Source organism: Homo sapiens, chromosome 4 (genome assembly GCF_000001405.40).
Source record: "Homo sapiens chromosome 4, GRCh38.p14 Primary Assembly".
Lineage (NCBI taxonomy): Eukaryota > Metazoa > Chordata > Mammalia > Primates > Hominidae > Homo > Homo sapiens.
Window position 1 is genome coordinate 183,284,660 of NC_000004.12, and position 18,366 is coordinate 183,303,025.

The 18,366-nt window shown below is 41.3% G+C and overlaps 1 protein-coding gene across 4 annotated transcripts in view, besides 1 other annotated feature; it reads left to right on the plus strand.

Moving 5' to 3' along the window:
- WWC2 (WW and C2 domain containing 2) overlaps positions 1 to 18,366 on the plus strand; it is a 221,521-nt gene that overhangs the window by 185,403 nt on the left and 17,752 nt on the right. For all 4 annotated transcript variants that reach the window (NM_001410864.1, NM_024949.6, XM_024454225.2 and 1 more), the window contains 2 exons: positions 1,308 to 1,400; positions 4,734 to 4,976. In NM_001410864.1, the coding sequence (NP_001397793.1) occupies positions 1,308 to 1,400; positions 4,734 to 4,976 (336 nt within the window). The remainder of the gene's footprint in view (positions 1 to 1,307; positions 1,401 to 4,733; positions 4,977 to 18,366) is intronic.
- Positions 10,248 to 11,447: an enhancer, noted in NCBI's record as "P300/CBP strongly-dependent group 1 enhancer chr4:184216060-184217259 (GRCh37/hg19 assembly coordinates)". NCBI's record gives its function as "activates an origin of replication core promoter dependent on BRD2, BRD4, P300/CBP, MED14 and CDK7 cofactors, with strong dependence on P300/CBP, by STARR-seq in HCT116 cells {active_cell/tissue: HCT116}" and the evidence as "EXISTENCE:reporter gene assay evidence [ECO:0000049][PMID:35650434]".

Here is an 18,366-nt window from a genome sequence, read left to right on the forward strand (position 1 = left end):
TACGTTATTTGGACTTCGGTCTGTATTTAGAAACATAAAGTGGTTTTTTGAGATACATGTGGTCTGTATATTTCTGTTCTATATCATATGTCCTTCAAACCATGTTTGTCTTGTTGAACTGAGAACTGTGAATTGCATTTTAGATTAAAAATCCTCTTTTAATAATGCTTATAAACACTGAATCACATCCATAGTTCTGTGAAGAAAATTATGAGATTTGTATCAGTTTGCCAAATTCTACTTCTAGAAGTATTTCTGATTTATCTAGTAAGATAGACATAATATTATAAACTGGGTTAGAAATACTTTTTAAATTCTAAATTTATTCATTCAGTTCAACACATTTTTATTAAGCACCTGCTTTTAAGCATTTTCTTAAATACTTGGGATTCATCTAGAAACAAGAGACCCAGAGCCCTGCCATTGTAGAGTTTACATTCCTGTGAATCGAGCCAGACCACAAGCAGTAAATAAGATGAACAAGCTATGAAGTATCTTGGAAGGGGATCAATGCTATGGACAACAGTAGTGCAGGGGGTTGGGGGTGATACGCAGGATTCAGAGCAGGCTGCATTTCAGTAAAGATTTGAAGCAGATGAGACAGTGAGTGTGGGCTATCTGGGCCGAGAGCGTTCTAGATAGCACAGACTGTGTCTCAACTCTGACCTTGAGCTCTGCTTCATGCAGACCTTTCTTTAAAGAAACAAATATCATGTATTAGCTAAAAATACAAAGGATAATTTCATTTCAAAAAATATATAAGTACCTTAAACATATGATTTTTAATAGCCACTACCAAAAGGCAGCTATTCAGATTATTTGCAGGCACAGTGGCTCATGACTGTAATCCCAACACTTTGGGAGCCCGAGGAGAGCGAAACACCTGAGGTCAGAAGTTCGAGGCCAGCCTGGCCAACATGGTGAAACCCCATCCTACTAAAAATAGAAAAATTAGCTGGGCATGGTGGCGTGCGCCTGTAATCCGAGTTACTACAGAGGCTGAGGCAGGAGAATTGTGTGAACCCAGGTGGCAGAGGTTGCAATGAGCCGAGATCACGCCACTGCACTCCAGCCTGGGTGACAGAGTGAGACTCTGTCTCAAAAAAAAAATACATAAATAAGTAATTTAGGAAAATGAAGTTATTTAACAAAATAGAACAGGAAAAACTTGTTTGAGGGGATTTTCTTAAAGAAATAAACTCTTAACTATGACTACCTGCTTTACTTGGTAAATGTCTCAATCCCAAACTTCCACTTGCACTCTGTTTGATATGCAGTGATTTTTTTTTTAAATCTTTTGTTGCCAGTTAAATCGGAGTGACAGTGACAGTTCAACCCTGGCTAAAAAATCACTGTTTGTGAGAAACTCCACCGAACGCCGCAGTTTGAGGGTCAAAAGGGTATGTATTCCCTCAGCCACGTCCCACTGTCCCTGGACCAGTCCAGAATTGTCACTTGTGCAGCACAAACTCCAGAACTACAGAATGAATGTCAGTGCTCCATGCGCTTGGCCTACTGAATGCAGCCACTGGGATACACAGAGACGCAGATGCCATGGCCACTATGGAGATGGGGGGGTGTGAGGGCATTTATTCATCATTGGTGTGGAACCTGTGATGGTTAAGGCTGGAAATGCGGTTTCAGTATCTCTGGAGAAGGGGCCTTCTGAGCCTGCAGGGGTATCAGACGATGGTAGAACACATTTCTGATGACTCTGCATACCATGTCCAGGTCTTGAGCGATTGTGGGAAGGGGTGTAAGACCTGGTACCTTTTCTGAAGGACACACATTCTGGTAAAGGAGGAACACACAGTTTTTGTAGCTTGCTTACACAGATATCTTTAGAAGGTTAAAACTCATGTGGGTGGGCAGCTCGGGTGGCATTTTCCTGGAGGTCATGGGTCTCTGCATGAGCCTTAAGGATAAGTCTAAGAGAATAAATGAATTAACAGGTTGGTCTGTTCAAGTAGTTCAGAAATTCCTGTTTACTTGCTAACAGCTGAAATACTAAAGGAAAATATTTGTTTACTGTGATCATTTTGGCTTAAAATGTGTGGTTCGGTGACTACAGAGCACCACATGTGCTGAGCTCTGTTGACGGCGAACTCACACCCTCAGGAGTCCATGGTCTAGAGGAGGACACAACACACACAGGACTGTCACAACTGTGCCGGGTATGACAGGGAATTAGCCCATCTGATTGAGAGTCAGAAGGGCTCAGTTGACAGCAGTTGGGGGGTCTCCACACTTGAATACAATTTCAAAAAGAAAATGGTAGCTTTGGGGCAGGGTGGGGGTGTGATGGATACTGGGCGCTGTGGGTAGGTGGCGTAAAATGATACGGGAGCAGGGACACACGGCATGAGGAGTGTCAGGTTCTGCCAGCAGCTTTGGCACTGTGGACGGGAGGATCAGGCATGATGGCTGGGAAGGTAAATCAGAAGCATTGTCATCACCAGGGCCACTCTGGTCTCATTCTGCCATGTGCAGAGTAAGAGATGCCTGGCCAGGCAGCAGTGGGCGCCCCTGGTTTAACTTCCTTGTTACTTGAAAGGCATAAAAGAATATTTTGTTTTTCTAAAGGCAGATGAGATGTGCTAGCATTTATTCAGCATTCGTCATTTTCAGGAAATTCTGAAATGTTGATTTTTCAGGTTACCAAACTTTATGCCTTAAAAGCACCTAAATTTTTATCATCTTGAATGAAAAGTCTTCTCAACTCCTTTCTAAGTCACCTGCCTTCTTAAGCAGCTCATACTCTCAGGGGATAGTTTCACTCTTCAGATAAATATTAACCAAAAGTGTTTATGAATCGAGTGGAGTTGAGAAACGGTTAGGTTACTGATAAACTTAGTTATTAGGACTACTTGAAACAGACAAAGGTTAATCCTGAAGCATATGTAGGAGATGGTTTTAAATGGTTTTTAAAAGTAGACAGATATGGTTTGATAGGAACAAGTGGAGAATGGTATTCTGCTTTAGGAATTACAGCATAAGCAAGGTATAGAGGTGTATGAGGACAAAAGTATCTGCAAAGATGAGGAAAAGGTTCATCTGAATAGAAGAACAAAGCGCCAAGTGTGTGAGTGATGAGGTTAGAGGGGTACCGACCGGCAGAGGTGTGCTGCACCCTCCTCACGCTGGCTCACAAGAGCCAATTGTGCTCGTCTCTTGCCAGTTAAATCGGAGTGACAGTGACATCACAGTCATAGCTTGAAAATGGTGATGGTAGGAGTATTTACCACATAGAAACTGGCCAACCCTACAAGTCAGTGCTTTCTTCTCTCCCAGAGAGAGCCAGTTATTAAACATTTACCAGCAGACTCTTGTATGTGGAGTCCTTAGGCTCTGTGTGCATGACAGCTAGGAAAGATTTCTGATTCCAAAAAGTAAGTAATACAGTCAAAGATAATGTGTGTCTAGATGATTCTTACTGTGTAATGCATTTGTAGAGAGGAGAGGGTACAGGTTGAATAAAGGGAACCTAATAAGAAGAATGTTACAGAAGACCATGCAGTATGTACTGGATGTGGAGGAAGAACAGGAGGACACAATAAGAGTGATTCTGACTTGGGCTAAGGCTCTGAAATCAGCATAGGGACAGACAGGCCCCCTCCCTTCCATCTGGCATGAGCACTACCATTATTTTAGATCTTCAAACTGGAGTACTTGTCAAATTTGAGTCCCTCCTCGCTCATATCAAATAGTAACAGTTCTTATTAGTGATCACTTATTTTGCATTCTGTCTGCCAATAATCTAGGCAAGAAATACCTCCGTGTTCCCCTCTGCTGGTAGAGTCTCACCTCTCACCCAGCCTTGTTTAAAATCCCTTCCTCAAGTGCATGTGCCCTGACCCTGAGTGATCCATCCCCTTCCCTGACTTCCTGTGCACTTCTGCACTCACTCACAGCTTCCTCTCGCTTAAGGCCTCATGTCATTCTGCAGCCGAAGTTTTCAAGGGCAGAGATTGTGTCTTCTCTTCCTAGTACTTTGCCTGCACAGCCCCAGCAGACATTTATTCATATATGTTCAATAATTATTGCTTGATGAATAGGTTAAGATTGCCCCTGGGAAGAGCCATGGTGATTCAGTGGTGAAAGTAAGTAGCACACAATGGGAAATCAAGGAAGGCAACTCAGTTTAAGCATTCTGATTGGAGGAGATAGTCAAAACTTAGCAACACTGTCCAGCTGTATTCAGGCTGACTGTCATGGACATGGTAGGAGTTATGTGTCCTGAAATGGAGGAAACAGAAATGTCTTGCAATGTATTTATTTATTACACTAGGCGGGCTTCATGCAATCAGTTGGTCAGGCTAAGTAAGCCAGGCTGTACTATGGTAACAACTTTAAAAATCTCTGTGGTATAAAACAATAAAGGTTTATTTCTTGCCTAGCTACTGGTTCACTGCAGGTTGGCAGGAGGTCCTGCTCCATGTTGCTCTTACCCAGGGCCCATGCTGATGGAGCCTCCCTCTGTGGTTCTTTGCTCTCCCTCCAGCAGGGGACAGAAATGTGCACCTCTCACACTGGCCTTGACAGCCTTCTGCCAGAAGTAAGGCATGTCTCTCCCACTCACCTGCCATGGGCCAGAGCGAGTTGCTCCTGCCCCTTAGGCCCTGGCTTCTAGGGTGCAAGGAAGCACCATCCATCATGCGCCAGGAAGGAGGGGAAGTGGGGTAACCACTGCCTGTATAACCAGGGTGTTCGTCATTCCGTTTCTAACTATCCAGACGGTTTGCCAGTCAGTCCTTAGAAGAACAACACAGGAATGCCCAGTGCGGACATCTCTAGACTTAGAACTGGACCTTCAGGCATCTCTGACCCGGCAGAGCCGCCTCAATGATGAGCTGCAGGCGCTGAGGGACTTGCGGCAGAAGCTGGAGGAACTGAAAGCTCAGGGAGAGACTGACCTTCCACCAGGCGTGCTGGAGGATGAGAGGTTCCAGAGGCTTCTGAAGCAAGCTGAGAAGCAGGTACGCAGCTCAGGGTCTGTCATCTCGGAGGGGCTTACATCTTTTTTTAAAGCGTGCCATGTAGAAGGTACCCAACTTACACTTCTGTTTTGCGCATAAGTCTTTAGATGTTTTACTACAGCTTGGAACATATTTTTCCCACTGTTATAGGCCCTTTTTTTTTTTTTTCCAAACCAAAAATGTTGAAGGAACAAGGAAGCTGGGAAGGTGGGTGTGGCAGCAGGGGATGGGCGTGGCCAGTAGGGTGAGGGCGTGGCCAGTGGGGGTGAGGGTGTGCCCAAAGGAGAAGTGGGAAGTAGTCATAATTTCTCCTCCATATTGTTCTCCATCTTAACGTAAGACTTGACAAATAAATGCAGTATAAATTTTGGCATAAGTGGGACATTTTGTTTGGATTTTCTATAGATATCTTTTTAAGGTTCATTAACCACATCAATTGTGAAATACATTGCTAATTTTAATGCTACTAAATTTTCACTTTCATTCTTATCTTAAAGAAAAATTACATTTTGCTTATTGACATTCTCCCTTACCTTTCACCCTACAAATAGGTATACTAAAAAAAGATGAAATCACTGATTAAAAAATAGAGTATTTTTGGCTGGGCGCAGTGGCTCACACCTATAATCCCAGCACTCTGGGAGGCCGAGGCGGGTGGATCATGAGGTCAGGAGTTCAAGACCAGCCTGGCCAAGATGCTGAAACCTCGTCTTTACTAAAAATATTTAAAAAATTAGCTGGACGTGGTGGTGTGCCCCTGTAATCCCAGCTATTCGGGAGACTGAGGCAGAGAATTTCTTAAACGTGGGAGGTGGAGGTTGCAGTGAGCTGAGATCGTGCCACTGCACTCCAGCCTGGGCGACAGAGTGAGACTCCATCTCAAAAAAAAAAAAAACAGTATTTTTAAAGAAACTATTTCCATTATTTTGGCACCTACATACTACTGAAATTTTCAAGAATCTGCATACATATGAAATTGATTTACTTTCTCAAGAGTACAATTTATATTTTGGTTTAGGATTGTGTATTCATATCCATATGTAGTAGCAAATAGAATTTTCCACATAGCTGAAATACTAATATTACAAATGCCAAAACATTGTTTTCTATCAGTCCCTTTGGATGGGAATGTAAAATGGATTAGACACTTCCTGAAACTAACAGAAAATCTTGTCTATGATATAAACTGCTCTTTTTGACCCAGAGTTGTTATTTGATCATGTCATGTATAGTACTGTCAGGAAAGTGTGAATCGTCCAGCTGACTGGAACTACTGATCCTTGATGGAACTCAGAAACTAAATGAATGAATTTCAAGAATCAAACTGACACCAGTAATAAAACTTTAAGCAACAAAATGTATTACATGTATCTATCTTATCCCACCTGATAGAAGGAAACCTTCACGTTCAGTAGGACCGGTGTTTGCTCAGTGTGGAGTTTAATGTTAGGCCTTACATTTGCCACAGCAGTGAATACAGGATAATTAGGCACTGTGCTGGTTTCATAAAGGAGATGAGCCAGACACTCCAGGTCTACGAGAGCAGTGCTTCCTGGGGAAGTCATGAGAGGTTTCATGGAGGAGGTGGCACTTGAACTGGCTTTTAAAGTGGGTAGTGGAGCTTCACAGCGGGGAGAGGCCCAGGACTCTCCATTAGTAAAGGTCCAGATGGGCTCCAGACAATGGAGGGCTGTGGGCAGGAGCCTGCAGGAGAGTAGGGCCACAGCAGGTGGAAGGTAGTCTTATGAAATGGAAGATTGAATTACAAGCAGAAATGACCTGCTCTTAGTTTGTAATCTCAATAACCAACATTTTTACTCTCTTGAGTTTTTAACTCAACATTACCAATAATTTCAAACTTTTGGTTGACTTTGACCTACTTTACTGTCATGGAGAAGCATCACAGTCTTTGACTGTTATGGGTCAAAGCCTTCCAAAGCTGAATTGGAGTTTTACAACTATAGATGCAAACAGAACTTTGTGTCTTTGGTTGTTTCTTCATTTCTAGTGTGTCATGATATGAAATTCTAAATTTCTAGATATCAATAATTACTAAAACTATAGGACTTAAATTTTTTTACTTAATATCATAACGCAAAGTTTCATCCATAAATTGCATTTCATTTTTTTTGACTGCTATCTAATCTCCATTGTATAGAGAGAAGCTCAGTAGAGCAAAAAGTTCTTTGAAAAAAATGAAAGGAAAAACAAAGCTCTGGCAAAATTAATGAAGAGAATATACAAATAAAGAATGTTATAAAACTAATGAGGGACAGAACTACAGGTAAATTTGAGATTTAAAAAATAATTACAGCTGAGGTGGGAGAATCACTTGACCCCAGGAGTTGGAGACCAGCCTGGGCAACACAGGGAGACCTTGTCTCTACAAAAAAAATTAAAAAAAAAAAAAATTCACTAGGCATGGTGGCATGCACCTGTGGTCCCAATTACTTGGAAGGCTGAGGTGGGAGGATCACTTTAGCCCAGGAGGTAGAGGCTGCAGTGAGCTGTGATTGCACCACTGCGTTCCAGCTTAGGTGACAGAGTGAGACCCTGTCAATCAGTTATGAAAAATTAAAAAATAAATAAATAATAAATGCATACACACAAACACACAGACACACACACACATACTCCCAGTGCTTTGGGAGGCCAGAGTGCCGAGAGTTTGAGACCAGCCTGAGTGACATAACAAGATCCCATCTCCATGGAAAAAAAAAAAAAGTTAGCTGAGCGTGGTGGCACACAGCTATATAGTCTTGGCTATTCTGGTGACTGAGGCAAGAGGATCACCAGAGGTATGAGGTTGAAGTGAGTTATGATCACCCCACTGAACTTTAGCCTGAGTGACAGGAAAAAACAGTTGAATACTATCAAAAGTATATGCCTACAATTTGGACATACGTCTAGGAAAATCTACTAGAATGGATGTTTGGAAAGAATAAAAAGGATAGAAAATCCTATAACTCTTTAAAAAAAAAAAATGGAAGCAGTGATTAAAAATCTATCCACAAAGAAAATATAAGTTCTGGATGCTTTGTACAAATTCTGCCACACTTTCAAAAAAGAAATTACCTCAATTTTATACAAACTCTTCCGGACACTAGAAAAAGAGAGAACACTTCCACAACTAATTTTATGTTAATGCCAACACTAGATAAAGATTCTATCAAAAGGAAAATCGCAGGCCAGGCCAGTTTCATTTATGAGTGTAGATGCAAGAATCCTGACTAAAAAATATTGGTAAACAGAATCCAACACTGTATTAAAAAGATTGTACATGTTGACTATGTTGAATTGTACAAAGGTTTTGTTTTCTTTGGTTTGGTTTTTTGAGACAGTGTTTCTTTCGCTCTGTTACCCAGGCTGGGGTGCAGTGGCACGATCTCGGCTCACTGCAGCCTCTGCCTCCCGGGTTCAAGAGATTCTCCTGCCTCAGCTGGAGAGTAGCTGGGGCTACAGGTGCACACCGCCACACTCAGCTAATTTTTGTATTTTTAGTAGAGACAGGGTTTTGCCATGTTGGCCAGACTGGTCTCAAACTCCTGACCTCAGGTGATCCACCAACCTCAGCTTCCCAAAGTGCTGGGATTACAGGCATGAGCCACCACACCTGGCAGGTTTTTTAATATTAGAAAACAGTGAATTAAAAAAATACATGTTGACCATGTCAAAATGTCTAAGAAAATTTTTAATACTAGGAAATATATTTATATAATTCATTACTTTAACAGATTAAGGAGAAAAATCATTTGGTCAACTCAATAGATTCAGAAAAGTATTGAGAAAAGTCAGTGCTCCTTCATGTTTAAAAATCCCAGTAAGTTAGAGACAGGAAGCTCCTCACCTTGATAAAGAATAACTTAAAGTAAATGTGATCATAAATAGGTAAACATTAGAATCACTTTCTTTAAAATCAAACACAAGACATTCAATATTCTTCCATTCAACATTGTATTAGGAGTTCCTAAACAGTGCCATAAGGCAAGAAAAAAAGTAGCAAAAAGACTGGAAAGAAATAAAGCTGCCATTATCTACAGGTGACATTGCATGCATTAAAAAATTTGTAAGTTATTATAAATAGTAAGAGTTTAGCAAGGTGGGTGAATAGAATGATATCTAAAAGTCTGTTGCATTTATTTACACCAACCAGAAACACCTAGACGTTTAATTAAGATAATTACAACAGTATCAAAGAATATCAAATATCAAGAAATAAATTTAACAAAAATAAACCGTACAGTATAGAGAAAATTACAAAACTTAGAAGAAATGTAAAAGCAAATTCATGGAGAATTTATTACATCCATGTAGAGCAGGGGTCTGTAAGCTTTTCCTATAAATGACCATATATTAAATATTATATCAAATTATACTATGATATAATGTAATTGTATTATAATTAAATATTAATGTTAAATATTCTAGGCTCTGGGCCATATGATCCCTGTTGCCGCTATTCAGCTCTGCCATAGATAAAATGGAAATAAATGATGTATTTGCATTCCAATAAAACTTTATTTACAAAAACAGGGCAGGCCATAGTTTGCCAACTGCTGATACAGAGGAAGAATTAATAATGTGGAGATGGCCAATTCTTTCTAAAATGTACCATAGAGTCAATGGAATTCCAAGCAGAATACCCACATGGTTCTTCATGGATACTGATGCAGTTAATGAAAAAGTAAAGGTCAAAGAATAGCCAAGGTACTTTGGAAAAGAATAACAAGGAGAGGGACTTGCCCTACAAATTTATTAAACTGCTAAAATAGTGGGAATTTGTGGAGAAATTAAGAGATTGGTCATGGCATGAATACAGAGCTCTCTAGAAACAGTGTTGCTGTGTGATGAGGGTGGTATCTGTGTGGAGTATTGATGTGTGATGCATAAGTAATAGGGGAGCTGTGAAGTTTCTAAAGTGTTCTCTGGAAAGACAGTGTGGCAGTAGTATAAGTGACCATGGCTAGAGCCAGAGGCTCCTTCCTAGTCCCCAGCGCCAGACATTTTCTCATGAGATAAAGTGAGAGAGACTTTGGCAGATCCGAACAGTATGTCTAACACTGATTGAAAAAGAAGATGAAGACCTTCTTTGAAAAGTACCATAAATATACTGTTTTCCTGAGTGTTTTTTTTTTATTGTCTTTCATTGTAGAATTCTGCTAAGATTTTTACTGTTGTTGATGAATGGTTCAAGGTTTGGGGGCTGATAGAGTGACCTTTGTTTTCTCCTACACTAAAGAAATGTTTGGATTTGCTCTAGGTAAAGTAGATGTAAAGTAGGAGTCTAGAACCCAACAACCCAAGGAAATCATCAAGGCAGACACATTGCTCAGAGTCTCTGAAAACTGGCAGGCAAGTAAGAGTTGATGTTTGAGGCACACATGTTCATTTTAATGATTTGTCCTTTAATGAGCCAGTCAAGAAGTGTGTTTGTTTCCAGCTGAAAAAAAAAATTAAGAAGGAGTTTCTTGGGAAACTTGAGCAGACATATTTTCTGTAAAAACACACACACACCTCCTAATGAAATCCTTCCTCTCGAACTCCTATGCTCCTTCAGCCTGGAGTGTAAACTCCCTAGGGAAGCAGCGAGGCTACTTTTTTTCCTTTGGTATTCCACTGCCTTAGAAGATGTTCCATCCAACCTTGGAGAAGTCCCCTTTGCCTCATTCAAGCTGCTCATCTTGTTGACCAGCCATGATTTTAGCCCTTTTTTGAGTTTTGCTTGTCTCCTGCTCACCACTAGAATAGAGGATTTCACCCTGGGGCTTACTGGTGAATAGATCAATACAGCCTGTAAAACGTGATGAGAATCTGACTGGTGGGCACTGTCTGTGGCCTTAGCGTAGCTTGGCCATGTGAGGGCCCCTGCCCTGTCCTCAGGGAACCCTTGGTCCAGCTGTGCCTTGGTGACGCTGGGACCAAGTTTCAGGAATATCAGGGTCTAGGGATATTATCAGATCAAATCAGTATTTCTTAGAGACCTTATGTACAACACAGTTTTGAAATCAACCCTCAACTCTTTTGGCAGACTGTTCTGAAACAGTTTTCTGCTGTTTTTGTTCCCAGCATCTCATACGATGTTCACAGGCGTAATCTAGGAAAAGAATGGCAGCGCGAGAGGAAAGGTGCCCAGTTCATTCTTCCCAGGGTGCCGAGATCCCTGACACCCCTTGTTTGTTTGTTTTCGTCCCTATCTACCGACCTATCATTCTGTTCTCAGTGACAGAAATAATGATAGGAATGTGAGGCATGTTTCTCAGACATAGTGTAAGGTTGAACTAAATTGCCTTGTAAGTGACCTCTTTGGGAGCTGTCATCTCTGTCATTCAGTGCAACCAAGTGTGTGACATGGGTGGTATTTTTCACTTTCATCTCCTAATTGTCAGCATTTAATTATTCCTATTGCAGGGCACCGCCTAAAAATGATGCTGGCTAACATACCTGACGGGTGCCGTCACTTCCTGTGCCTGCCTCAGAGCCAGTGTCTTCATAAAGGTGCTGCCATAGCTGGGTGAGGGTTTTGATTCTTTTAAAATGTCACCACAACCCAACATACTTGTGTACAAAGCCAAGTGAAGTTGGCCTTGCCAGTAGAGGTAACATTAATGCCACATTGGTTGTATTTTGCTCACAAAACAGGCCTTCTGGCACCCACATGGCAGTACTCTCTTAGATGGTGTAAAAACTGGTCGCTTGGGCTCAGAACTGCCCAGGAATAATTCGAAGATCATGGGACTGTTCAATTTGGATCAAGAGTGCAAAGATTTGAGAGAGCCAAGATCTCCTTTGTTTTGCCCAGTGAAGGATACAAGCAGGCCTTGTTCCAGTTAGAAACTGTCTGAAAAAGAGTGACACTTTAGAACTCTCCTTTGTAAAATAGTGCTTTATTTTATATTAATTTGTAGTTGTTCAGTCACTAAATGATACCTGTGCATAATTCTGGCCTTGTAGTAAGTTTCTGACGATGATTAGAATCATCCTTACATAGATGATCTTGCTTAGAAATTATTTCTTAAGGCCAGTCACGGTGGCTCACGCCTGTAATCCCAGCACTTTGCGAGGCCAAGGCGGGCGGATCACGAGGTCAGGAGATCGAAACCACCCTGGCTAACGCGGTGAAACCCCCTCTCTACTAAAAACACAAAAAAATTAGCGAGGCATGGTGGCAGGTGCCTGTAGTCCCAGCTACTCGGGAGGCTGAGACAGGAGAATGGCGTGAACCCCGGAGGCGGAGCTTGCAGTGAGCCGAGATCGCACCACTGCACTCCAGCCTGGGCAACAGAGCGAGACTCCGTCTCAAAAAAAAAAAAAAAAAAAAAAAAAAAAAAAAAAAATTATTTCTTAATAGAGGATTTCTTTTTGAGACAGGGCCTCTGTTACCTAGGCTGGAGTGCAGTGGTGTGACCACAGCCCACTACAGCCTCAACCTCCCAGGTTCAAGCAATCCTTCCACCTCAGTTTCCTGAGTAGCTGGGACCACAGGCAGACACCACCACACTCAGCCAATTTTATTTTTTTGTAGAAACCGGGTTTCACTGTATTGCCCAGGCTGGTCTCAAACTCCTGATCTCAAGCAAGCCTCCCTCCTCGGCCTCCCAAAGTGCTGGAATTGCAGGTGTGAGCCACCACACCCAGCCTAGAGGATTTGTGATCTTTATTATCTGATGAACCAGCACTTAGTTGGTTTTAAAATTAGTTTGCATACCAAGATAATGAGGGAAAGAAGATCCTAAGGATCTTTCTGTTATGATTGTGGTAGAGCCTGAGATAAACACTTTTTTTTTTTTTTTTGACATGGAGCTTCACTCTTGTCACCCAGACTGAAGTGCAATGGCACAATCTTAGCTCACTGCAACCTCTACCTCGCGGGTTCAAGCAGTTCTTCTGCCTCAGCCTCCCAAGTAGCTGGGACTACAGGCGCGCACCACCACTCCCGGCTAATTTTTTTATATTTAGTAGAGATGGGGTTTCACTGTGTTGGCCAGGCTGGTCTTGAACTCCTGACCTCAGGTGATCTGCCCATCTTGGCCTCCCAAAGTGCTGGGATTACAGGCGTGAGCCACCGCACCTGGCCTGGGATAAACACTTCTGTTCTACTGCTTCACTAAGAGGGTGCAGCCCAGGGGAGCTGAAGAGAGACAAGGGAGGAGATGGCCGCTAGTGTGCTGCCTGCTTGCTCCCTTGGGACCAGCACCCAAAGGCCATGCTAACCACATCTCACAGTCATAACTCAGAGGAGAAATGAGGAAGAATTGTTCTACCCATGTGCACATATGGCTGCCAGACAATCTCATGGCACATGTTGGCTTCAACAGAAAGGCCATGGCAGGGGCCAGAGAAGGGACATAAGGGGAGACACTAGTTATACCTTCATGAAGTCCACCAGACCCTGCAGAGTTGATGACTGCAAGGGCATTTGGGAAAGGTCAAGAGGATTTGAGCTGATATGTTAGAGGTCTCTTATTCAGAATGAGAATGTGTGTTTTCTAGTTCTTGCTAAGAAAATTTCAGCTTAACAAAACATGAAGATACATCTAAATAAAATTAAGGGCTGGTAAACCTGACAGTCTTAATAATTTGTATTCAGCTTTCTCCATGCCATAGCTATTGTTTTTCTAGATCACTACTGTGAACATCTTGGGGATGCCGGTAACAGTTCAGTATAAAACTCCTTTGTCAGAGGAGTTGAACCTCATATACAAAATGCTGTCTTTTTATACCCAAGATAGGGCCAAAACTCTTTAGCTAGCCTGATGATACCCAGGGAAAGAGCCATTGGTATACACCTGAGGTCCCTGTTTAGGGTCCAAGTGAAAAGAGACTATAACAGCAAGGCCAGGAGACCCATGAGTGCTTGTGGTGTCAGAGTCAGATCTTAGATGCTGTTGTGGCTTCACTTTCTCATTACCCTTCCCCATTCCTTTCCCTCACAACTTCTTTCTTCTTCCCATCAGAAAATAGGTAAATGAAAACAAACCAGCCTTATAAAATACCATAAAAGTATCCATACCTGTGGCTTATGTTTTTCCCATGCACTAATAGGATTTTATATACTCACCTATGAATTAAGAGGATTGAAGTAGATAGCCACCAGAATCCCTTCTAGTTACAGAATTTTGTGATCTATTTGAGATCAAGTCTAATGTGCTTTCAGTATAAATAAGGATTCAGAGAGATTTGTGGAAATTGAAGTCTGCATGGCCTAAAGGAACTGAACCTTTAGGGTACATGCAGTACTTTGATAATTCTGAAGTCCCAGGTGAAATGTGATTCCTGGAAGTTTTTCATATCAGGATACTCAGAGTGCAGTCTTACACAGGTTATGCAGAGCAGATTTTTTATCACACTGTAGGAAACTATGCTGTCTTAGTCCATTTTGTGCTGCTATAACAAAATGCCACAGACTGGGTAATTTATAAAGAAAAATTTATTTCTCACAGTTCGGGAGGCTGGAAAGTCCAAGATCCAGAGGCTGCAGCTGGCAAGGCCCTTCTTGCTGTGTCATCCCATGGTGGAGGGTAGGAGGCAGGAGAGAGATCCCACTCCCAAAAAAGCTATTTGATTAGGGTATTACACCCACACATGAGAGTGGAGCCCTCATGCCTACTCACCTCTCAAAGGTCCCACCTCTCAATACCGTTACAATGGCAATTGAATTTCAGCTTGAGTTTTGGGGGGAAAAACATTCAACCCGTAGCAGATGCCAAGCCCGCTGCCCCTCCGTCTTTGCTTCCTTCTGCTACTGGCAGTTTCACATCAAGCAATAGTGAAAAAAGCTCACAAAACAAGGTGCATTTATCCTGCTTTCAAAATGATTTGATTCTCCCTAGTGCAGAGGGTTTTTATCGTTATTTTTAACAACTCTGTGGATACATAAACTGTTTGAGTTGTGTACTTTTCTCACCAGTGAAATTTGCAAAAACCAGTTTTTTGAAAAAACAAACTTTCCATTGTGTGCCTTTCATTATAGCGACAGAAACTCATGATCACCACTGACTTCCCTCACCTGCTTCCTCCTCACTTCCACAGTCATTTGTTAACATACACATGGGTACACCAGCACCTGCACACATGGCACACACACACTAACTCTGCCACACTCACACATTGCCCTTTCATCTCCATCATTTCCCTGTGGTATTGGGGATTTGTGAGGTTTTCAGCAAGATGACCATAAAGTGCCTAAGGATGAGCAAAGAGCCTGCCAATTGCCATAAAAAATATGGCTCCCAGAAAAGCAATGAATCGAAGCCAGCAGCAGATCCTGGATCTGCCTCCCTTGTCAAGGAAAACTGTCAGGTCTCAGGGTCACACTCCTTAACCTTCCTCCTTTGTGGCCCAAAGTCTGTTTTGTAGCTCAGAATAAAAAAGAGAATCTTATTTGGTGTCCTCGTGTATTGTAAAACCCCCTCAGGAAGCAGAGCAAGAAGCTGAGGACTGTAAATTAAGACTGGATTGTGCTTTTTATTCCATTAGGCTTCTTAACACAACTATGAATAAATCACTGGGCCTCTCTGCAGGTTGGGCTCCCATCATGTAAACTGGAGGTGAATCACACCCTTCTGGAGTCCTCAGCATTCCAAGTGGCTCCCAGGCCTCGTAAGCCCGGCATCTTATCGTGATTCGTTGGGTGAGGGAAAAGCATGCCGAGAGAGGACTGGGGTTCTTCCAGAGGAGCCTCGTGGTCCTTACAAAGCAGGAATTTCTTTTTTTTTTTTTTTCCATAGAGTGTTTCCCTGTCAAAATGCCAAAATTTTATGGTGCTAGACTGCAGAACTGCTAGATTTTTTGTAAAGCTTAAAATAATGCAAATGTTAACACTCTTAAAAGTTAGATCTATTTTTAAAATTATGCCAAAGATATTAATACACTGCATTCAAAAAATCTTAATGATTACAGAAAAGTATTCAGCATTGAGGTCTACCTACAAAATTGTTTGGTATTGATTATTAGCAGCTGATAATAATTCTATATGTTTTGCCACCTAATTTGTGGAGAAAGATATAGGTATAGATACAGATATAAATATAAAAACATAGAGACAAATACAGTCTTCAGTAAAGTATATTCTTACTCAGCAGGGAAGGAAATATCTTCCGGTGTTCCCTGGTCAGCTTTTTTTTTTTATAAAACAAAGCCAAGTTTCAAAGTAATTTTGTAGTCACCATAGAAATGCTAGAAGTTGAAAACATCAGCAGCCATTACACTACTTAGAGGGACTGCCAAAAGACTTCTCTGCAAGGGATAGGATCCTCTGCGTTCTATTCCTGTGGAAGGTGGCAAAGACGGAACAGGATCCTGCGAGCCTGTCTTATTTCCTATCTGATAAAATCACTTCTAGGTAAGAAAAGTGGGTTGGATTTTCTTACCTATGCATGATTCATTTCCTTCCCTGACTTTTCGTGATATATCCCTTGTTAAATCAGTCAACAGATGTCTGTTTTAAGAGTGATTTTTTTTCTTATGGTATTTCATGAAGAATTTGAATAGCAGCAAAATTTTTAGTATATTTACTAATTTAGTAATTTGACATACCATAGCAAGATAGAAGTCATTTCTCAGTGTGTACTAAGTCAACAGTTCCTTATCTGGGACCTAATGAAAAATTATCCATTTACTAAAGATAGGACTTCACAAAGTAACTAAAATATCACATTTGTCACCCTTGTATTTGAATCACATAAATTCACAAGCTCCAGCTGGCAATTAAATTATCTCATCAATTACAAAGTAATCAAGAGAGAACTGTTACTTAACAAATATAGGCTGCTTTTATAGACAAACCCTTTCAAACCAGGGAGAGGAAATAGGGGGCAGTAAAAAAAAATACCTGGAAAAAGACACTGTGTGATGAAAAAAAATCAAAACTTATTGCAGTAGATGATGATTAGCAAAGTACTAGGGATGCCCCATTGTGGGTTATTTAGCTTTCCATAAAGTAGTGTGAGTATAATTGTTTCTTTATAAGTATTTGCTGAATAAAGAGTTTTCATAAAAGCTCATCTTTCCTAAAAGTGCCACAGTATTTTTATTTGCAGATTTAAAGTGAGTTTAGGATATTTTTGCTTTGAGAATATTTTAATTTTTTTTAAATGCTTAAGTAACACATGGTTATTATAACAAATTCAGGTGATGCAGAACTATATAAAGCAAAAACTAGAAGTCCTTCTTGGAGTTGTACTTCCCAGAGGTTACCACTGTTGACAAATTGGTGTATGTCCTTCCAGCTATTTTTTTATGCAACATGTGTGTTAGTGTTATTTGAAAGAGTTATACAAAAATGGGGTCATAAAGATAGATTGTTCTGAAATTTGCTTCTTTCCCTCACTTAATTCTAATAGTATGTGATGAACAGCTTTCCATATTAGTAAATGTTACTGTAACTCATTATTTTAATGCATTCATTTGTATAGCTCTATCACAGTTATTTAATTATTCTAATAACAATTTCCCAAATTTTCTATTATAAACAATGTGGAAACACACACTTTTATGCATATTTTTGTACCTTTCTGGTCACACTAGTATTCCTAAAGCATAAATTCTTAGTAAGAGAATTGCTGATAGTATCAGTTTGGCCGTGAACCATAGTCAAAGATCTTGTCTTTGTCGAGCCTTTTAAGCCTGAAGACCTTGTTTGATTTCCTGGCCTTAAAGGTGTCTGAAGCAGTGGATGCACGTGGGATGACAAGGTCCTTAATTGCCCTTTTTGCCAGCACCAGTCTTATTTCCTTCTAATGTTTCTAACTGCTTAAGTCATAACAGAAGCAGTTGGCTTTTCAAGTCTAGAAGCATCGCAATTGTGGGACTATCCATCAGCTTAGATTGCAGGCACAGGCTACCCACCACCTTTAGACCTTTGCCTGAGTCAATGTCGACGTCGATCTCTCTCTCTCTCTGTCAGGTACAGTAAGAGGCAGCTTCTCAAAGCACTGCTGTTAGCTTAGTTTCCCCAACATCCCCAGTGAGAATTGGGAGGGAAAGTGAACAGGAAAGTTACCCTGTATTCGCAGCAGAGATTTTGCTTAGAATGCCTTCTCTTAAAGTAGCCTTCCAAAAAATTGACAGAAGCCAACTCACATATTTGTAAGACCCCACTGTCCCTCAAGACACAAATAAATTAGATTTGTATGTCTGTCAGATAGAGGCTGGGTGCATTGGCTTATGCCTGTAATTCCAGCATTGTGTGAGGCCGAGACGGGTAGATCACTTGAGGTCAGGAGTTCAAGACCAGCCTGGACAACATGGTGAAACCCCGTTTCTACTAAAGATGTAAAAATTAGCTGGGCATGATGGCAAGCGCCTGTAATCCTAGCTATTCTGGAGGCAGAGGCAGGAGAATTGCTTGAGCCCAGGAGGTGGGGAGGTTGAGCTGAGATCGTGCCACTGC